General features: G+C 35.4%; 1 long non-coding RNA gene across 1 annotated transcript; it reads right to left on the bottom strand.

The window, feature by feature from the left end:
* Positions 1 to 6,996, bottom strand: LOC105376180 (uncharacterized). Its single transcript, XR_930180.2, has 3 exons — positions 6,826 to 6,996; positions 4,216 to 4,244; positions 1 to 127 (listed from the first exon to the last, which is right to left on the bottom strand). It is a non-coding gene; the product is annotated as an uncharacterized LOC105376180 (long non-coding RNA).
* Positions 6,997 to 7,937: the final 941 nt, after the last annotated feature.

The raw sequence follows: 7,937 nt of genomic DNA, 5'->3' as shown, positions 1-7,937 counted from the left end.
AACAGATGGATACCAGGTCCACATGGCATCTTGAGATGGTCTTGAATTATGTGAGTTGGCTGATATCACTGTTGAAACTCTCTGGGAAAGAGCCTCCTTTTCGCACCTGGCTTACAAAGCAACCACCCTGGAGGATGCAAACATATTTAGTGCTCTTTGAAACACAACCAAGAAAAACATCTGGCATTTTTTAGAAGAATGGTTTTTTTCACTGTATAGTTAAAAAAAATCGTTGTTGTCTAGCAACAGCCAACATTTCTAGACAGCTTTTCATAATCCATAATCTCATTTAATCAGCATAGCAAGTTTATGAGAAAGGAATTATTGCCCCCTTGTACAGATGTCAAAATTCAAATAGATTCAGAAAGATTAAATAGTGAGCCCAATTCCTATACCTAATTAGTGGTGCTGCTGAAATGTTGGACCTTAATACATTTGTCTCCAAAGTGCACATTTTTTCTGGACTACCTTGCTGCCTCACTTTGTGTTATGAAAAGACAAAGCCTGGTTTTTGTTGTTTTTTGTTTGTTTATGGTGAGAGTACAAAGCCACAGAATTTGAAAATCTATTAAAACACTCACACCCATAATTTCCCTATGGCAAATTTCTGAGAATCTTTCTTGATCAGATTTATCTTCTCACATGGCACAAAATCTTGAGGAAATGAGTTCCACATATCTGATGTGAAGTTGTTCTTCCCATTAAGGGTATTTAGTTCATACCCTTAAAGCTTACAGAGTTCCCATGATTTTAATATTCTGGAATTCACCTTGATGATTTCAAAGATTTTTTAATATCATACACCATCCTTCAGTCAATAGATCTGAATTTAAGTCTGAGCTCCTTCATTATGTAGGTTTGAACAAATGATTTAAATTATATGAACTGCCTCTTCCTTGGATGTAAAATGGGACTTTCTTATGGGGTTTCTAGTCTGCTAGACGAGAGATTTATACAAAGCATAAAATAGGCCATTGTTTGCCTAAGAGTTACAAGGGTATTGATATCAGCACCCCCAGTGGTGCACACACCTGTACATGATCCTGTACATGATGCTGATTTGAAGTATGTATCACTCTTGAGTGCCCAAATCCTCTGATTTCCTTCAGAGTCAGAAAAATGAAAATTTGCCTTCTGAAATAAAGACACTGTATAGATAAGCTGTGTTTGTATGCATGCACCTTAATCTTTACAGTGAAAAAGAAGAGTGACCCTTTGTCTCCTGTGTTCTCTTTTACAGTTAATGTCAAATACAACAAGATAAAAGGTGTAAACCCCGCCTCAGACTCAGTCATCTTTCTGGGATCTATTTCTCTAGGTTTGCCTCTTTTTTCCTATGGGCTTCACTTTTGTGTCTCTCTCTCCTTCCTGCTCTGATGCTGCTGTTTCTGAGATGAGATTAGCAAACTTAACCCCCTGGCATAGATTCCTAGCTTTCACTTAGCAACTAGATTCTGGTTCCTTCTCATTCTCAATTCATTCTTAACTCATTCAAAAACTGTTGCAGAAAATTCATGATAAGATGTGCTAGAATAATAAATGTCTTACCCCTTTTCCCTGATCCCATTGAAACTACCAATGAACATAAAAATTAAGCTGCAAAAATATTTTGAATATTTGAAATTGCAGGGATGTAACAATATCTGGAGGATGTTTCTTTAAATTAATGTATTTCCACATAGGAAATAAAAGCTTAAACAAAACATAAAATAATAAAATGCCATGATATTATGAGTTTTTTTACTTTGTTTTACTCTTATTTGCTTCAAAATGTTAAATAATGAGCCTGAATCACTCTGTAAATAGAAACAAGATAAACGCTATTTTTAAAGAAAACAAAAGAAGAAAAAACAAAAACATAACATTGACTACATTTTACAACTTAATAGACACTGTAGTTCATTTTGTCTACTTTGGATCATAAATAGCAATACTAAGTACTTTGAAACATGCTCCAAGGCTAGTAAATAAGATGTGGCATATAATTCCCACAGGAAAAAGACAATGTGCATTTTAATGGTCTTCTGGTTAGGCAAAATGTAGATATTTGAAATATCTTCTAATGAGTTTGGTACTAAAATTTGAAGTATGCTGATAACATACCACAAAATATTTCAACAGCACAGCTACTAAGCTGATTTTAATTTTCCATTTAATCATAATCATAAAGAATATACAGGTTAAATTTAGATTTATTTTAATGATCTTCAGCATTATTATTCTATTTCTTGAAGCATTCTTCATCAGCACTCTGACAAAGGGAATTTAACATCTTTATTTACTTTTACAGCTTTCTCTTTTGCAAGGGACATTATGATCCAATAGTCTGCATGTAAGAAATTCACCTAATTATGGTGTTCCAATCTTAAGACATGTCATAAAAGTAGCTTAGATTGATAGCAACGTGGAAGGGGTAGGGAAGAAGAAGGCATAGGCAGATAATTAGAAAACTCTATTGAAGAGCTTGAGAAATGATTAAAGTATCAATGTTGAATCTTTAAAACACTTCCAGTACAGTCTGTGACCGCTTCGCAATGATTTATGAATTTATGTTGCCTTAGATTTTCTTCATATTCACATCTTCCCTCTGTTCTATGTCATTTCTTAAAATATAATTTTTTAGAGACTTCTTTCAATTATATTTTTAATTAGGCTCAGAAATACTATCTAATCCTCTCCAAATTTCTTTCTTTCATCCTTCTTTCCTTTTTTTCCCTTCCTGCAAGTTGAGCGCACTATGTTCCTAGAAACTGCTAAAAGCCAGTTGTGCAAGTGACATAAGATACAGACTTTGCCCCTCAAAGAGCTCATAGTTGAAAATCAAGTCAAACTTGGAAATAAAGAACTGTGAGTTCCATAAGAACAGTTTTCACAATGCCTTTAATAGCACAGAGAAGGTGAAAAACTCATGTATGATACAGTTAACAGGGAAGAGCCCAGGTAGGGAGATTAGTTAAGATCTTATTGCAGTTTTCCTCCAAAGAGAGAATGATGTCTTCAAATATGTTTTATTAAAGAGAAAAGGTCAAAAGGAAATAATTCTGATCGAATAGGAAGCCGAGGGCAGGAACTAGTAGGGCCAGGCTGCTGCTCTCAAGTATGATACAAGCTAGGGATGGAGAAACACAAACACATTGTGGTAAAGATTATAACTGAGTTAATTTTTGAGTTTAAAAGGGAATTATAAAGGCCAGAACCCAGGAGTAACAACTATTTTTTCTATTGATAATGGCTAACATTTATTATGTCAGGTTTTAGGCTAAGTTCTTGACCTGTATTATCTAAGCTAATGTTTACAGCAACCCTAAGAATTAAGTAGATTATTTTCTCAATTTTATAGATGAGAAAAATGAGATGTAGAGAAGTTAAGCAACAAAATACACAGTAGTAAAATCAAGATTTACCTACAGTCTGACTATTCTGGGCTCTTAACCATACTTCTAAGGGTTCTACTTGACTGCATGTTTGATTTGCCTGGGAACCTTAAAAAATGTATTGATACCCAGGCCCTACTTCAGACCAAATAAATCAGAATCTCTGGGTGTAGGACTCAGAATTGGTATTTCTCTTTTTTAAGTTACCTAGTGATCCCATGTTCAACCATATTTGAGAACCACTCTATTATTCTCTTCTTAAAGAAAAGCTAAGATGATATTGAGTTGACATTTGAGGGATTAATAAAAGTTTAGCTTATGGAGAAGCAGAAAAGGGCACTCCAGTTGAAAGAGAAGCATGAGCAAAGGCATGACATATTAGGACAAAGGGTATGCATCATATCCAAACCAAGAGCTTTGTGGGATGGAGAAGGCAAGAGAAGCTAATTGAAACTAGATTTTGAAAGGCCTTGAATTCCTCAATAAGAGCCTCTTATTTTATTCATCATGCAACAGAGAGTTTTTAAGTGTTTTTAAATATGGGAGTGAAAGAGAATCTGATCTATATTTTAGGAAAAAAATGGCTCTTTGGGGTAACAGGTATAATAAAGTTTAGTAAATGGCTTAGGGCATACTGAAATAATTTGAAGAATTCACATTTACCAGTGATTTGTTCTGTTGCATCCTACTGGAAGTGGACATACTGTTTGATATTTATAATTTAACTCAAAGTTAATTCTCTACTCTTACACCACAGCTGTTATCCAAGAGTACATGAACTTGAGAGATTTAAAATCAATTTAATAATCATTTAGGTATAAATAGAACCAAAGTGACTCACTAGCCTCTGTTTGGTGTCAGGTTTTCATCCTACATGGAGTGAAGACAGAGAAAAAGGTGAGAGTAGGAATTAAAACTCACATTTTTAAATTAGACTCAAATATTTTTTGTTAATCAAGAAAACTCTCCTTGAACCATGAAAACAAATGACATTTCTAAAACTATGGCCTATCTCATAAATCATGTTTTCTTTACCAAACTGTTGCATGTTTTTAATCACCTTACCATTTAGGAACGGGATGTGGAAGACATGGGAATACCGCAATGAATTACAGTAGAAGACCTTCTCTCATCTTCTGTGTAATCTCTCTAAAAAGCTGGGCTTCCTGCTTCCTTTATGACTGGAGTCAGCTGAAGAGACCCCTCAAGAATGACACGTAGCATAGTGCTTAGCAGCTGTTTTCATGTGAGGCTCCATAAGAGAATTAACTATAATTCCAGCCTAAGGTACTCATTGTACAGAATAAATTAACTTCCCTTATATATCTAAAATGGTACTAGCTTGTACTGTCCTTGGGAAAGTTGAGAAAGTAGTCACTAAAATCATTTTCTGTAGGGTTTAATTCTCTGGTAGAACCCAAGTGCTAAATCAGATGTATGGAAAAAATCATGGGTTGTTCAAAGAAGAGGGAGCAAGAATATCAAAAATACTCTTATCTCAAAAATAAACCATCCCAGATCCATATAATTATGAGACTGGAATTTAGGGAAATACATATATCAAGACTATTTTACTTTTTAAAATTATTCTACATTTCCTGAATGTAGTGCTAAAAGAAAAACATTAGCCAAATTAAATTTAAAAGAGTTTAATTGAGCAAAGTACAATTCAGTCAGTCTCCCAAGCTCAGGGACTCCAGTGCAGCCATGTGGTGGAAGAAGATTTATGGATGGAAAAGGAAAGTGACATACAGAAAACAGAAATGATGTACAGAAACAGCTGGATTGGTTATAGCTCGGCTTTTCCTTATTTGAACACGGTTTGAACAGTTGGCCACCTTTGATCAGCCAAAACTCAGTGATTGACACAAGAGTAGACTACAGTTTGTATATAACTCCATTTAGGCTATAGTTTGCAAAGTACAGAGAAACCTTTAGGCCAAATTTAAAATATGTAAGGAGGCAGATTTAGGCTAAACTTGGTCTAACAATTCCCCCCTTTTGGTCATCTTCTCAATTTTGAGAGATTGGCCAAAACTTTAGTCATTGATGTCACAATCACCATCATAAATATACTTCTTTGGTGTTTAAACTCACTGGGAAATAGCAGACATGGGTTTTGTAAGGTGGGAACAAGGAATTTAGGTTACCTTTTTTGTGAGGGTTAGAGTAGAGGTACCTCCTTATATGCTAGAATGTCCTGTTTACAGGAGGAAAAAACAAAACCCGGTCTGTTCTAGAATCTATGTGTTTCTTTAAACTCTTAGTTTGATTAGTCATATTTAGCACAAGTGACTCCATTTTGGTTTGGTCTGGTCTGTTAGGGCCTACTGCATGAGCTTAGTCCAAAACAATGGCCTCTCATAATTTTGTTTAATAATTCCCCCCTTTTGGTCAGGTTCTCACTTAGGTGAGAGTATGACCAAAATTTAGGGCCTTAGCACCTCTCTCAGTTACCATCATTTTGGGTTTCTGGTCTTAGCACGTCATTTACAGATTATGGTGCCCTCATGGTCACACATTTCTTTCAGGTCTTGTCATTCCAGTTGAAGAGAGACCACTTGACATTCTACAGACGGCTGCATGCAAACATTTAAAACTTTTGAGAGAATACAGTGCACCAGGGAGACTACTATTATGACTATCAGGAGGATAATACCAAAAGTTTGGAGTATGCTCCTTAGCCAGGGCTCCATAAACCAAACCACCTAAAATCAAATACATTAAAAAATGAGCTAGATAGTCTACTCACTTTAACTAAGCAGTCTCTTCATTAATCTCCTACAACTGAATCTCTGTAATGTCTGATGTGATGTATTCCTCCATGGGCAACAAGTGCCAGCAGCTGCACAGATACTTCTCTGTTTAGTCAGTAAGTAATCTAGAGCAATTCTATTATTTAGCATAACTTTCACAAGAGAATTTAAAGTCTGTTGTGTAACCATAGCCTTTATAGTAGAATCTGCTATAGAGCCTATCATGAGGGATAAATTTCTAATCATTGCCTCATTTACTCCAAACCATGGCAAAAGAACCTAACAGTTGATGCCCTTCCAGAAGAGTAAAGACCTCCTGTCAATGTTCTCTTTAACCTATGATGTGGGTTAAGAGGAATGAACCAATGTTCTATTTCTGACTGATTATGAGGCAATGTAGGTACCATTAAAATTTCTCACCTACATTGAGCCTTCGTCTTTCATCTATCAAGGCATAAGTTTATCAAATGTATAAGTTTGGCTACAAAATCCTTCACAAGTAAAATTATACCCCATGAGTACACACAACAGACTCCCTGTACACTTCTATTGTTTATAGAGGCATAAGTAAGGGGAAAAAAGTGAAAGAGTCTCATGATAGCAGAGAAAGCTTGACCTGTGATTTGGGGGGGAAAAGCTATTTCCATTAAGGATGCTATCTTCTTCTGGGAAGAAATTTCCCTGGTTAGCTTTACCTTAAGGTTTCCAATGGGTATACATTCCAAGAGTGTGGAGGGATCCTTCTGAGTTGAGAGATTATGAACCCAAGATTCAAGGTCCTGAAGTTTTGCTGCAGTGTGGATGACAAGAGCATTCTTTCTCTGATGTTCTCAGATCTAATCTTTGGGTTCTGGATTGTAAAGGGATTGATTGTCCTCAGTCAGTCAGTGAACCATGAAAAGCTTTCTTTAGCTGGTGAAAATACACTGTGGCATAATGAACTACTGTTATAACATCAGCCCTCTTGCATGGGAAAGCTTTCATACAACCAGAAAACATGCATTGAAAATGACAATTGGATGAAATCTGTCTATAAATATTTAAAAGGTCCATCGGGTAGTGAAATGTACCTGAAGTTTTGATTGTCTTTTCAGGAATATGGGTTTGACAAAACCACATGTCGGTCATAAACTATTTTAGCAATTTAGAAGTCACCATACCAATATAATATTTAATTTGGATCATTTTATCTTTTTCATGATGAGTCATGATGCAGAACTTGTAATTTAAAAAAAAAAGCCAAAAGCCTTAAGGACTCAGGAAGGACACAGTGGCCATCCTGGTTCTCCATGCTTAACATTGGACTTATGTCCTCTTGAAGTTGTTTCTCCACTTTAGGTGCATAGCACTGACAACTGATGGGTTACCATAGGTAATTTCACTTAGACCATGGAGTTCATTCAAATTGTGTACCTAAACAATTTCAGTATTGGCTGATTTAGCATGAAAATCTGGCAAAGTATTTTCTTGGTATTCAATTAATTTTTGTTCTGTTTGAGTTAGCAGTTTTACAAACCAGTCTTTTTATTGAAGTTCTAGGAATTCTTATCTAGTCCAAATGATGTGATTCTAAAGCTATCAGAAACCTATATTCAAGAGTGCTTTTCAGGGCCCTTTGCACCCTTTCATGAACCTCTTTAAAGACACCATATTATAGGATTTTGCATGCTTGTGAAGTTTTCAGAAATTGCATCATAATACATACAAATGGCCAACAGACATATGGAAAAAAAGGTTCAACATCAGTAATCATTAGAGAAATGCAAATTAAATCACAATGAGATATCACCTCAGACATGTTAGAATG

This window comes from Homo sapiens, chromosome 9, assembly GCF_000001405.40.
Source record: "Homo sapiens chromosome 9, GRCh38.p14 Primary Assembly".
NCBI classification, from domain to species: domain Eukaryota; kingdom Metazoa; phylum Chordata; class Mammalia; order Primates; family Hominidae; genus Homo; species Homo sapiens.
The sequence above is the reverse complement of the archived record's forward strand: the minus strand, read 5'-3'. Positions and strand labels throughout refer to the sequence as shown.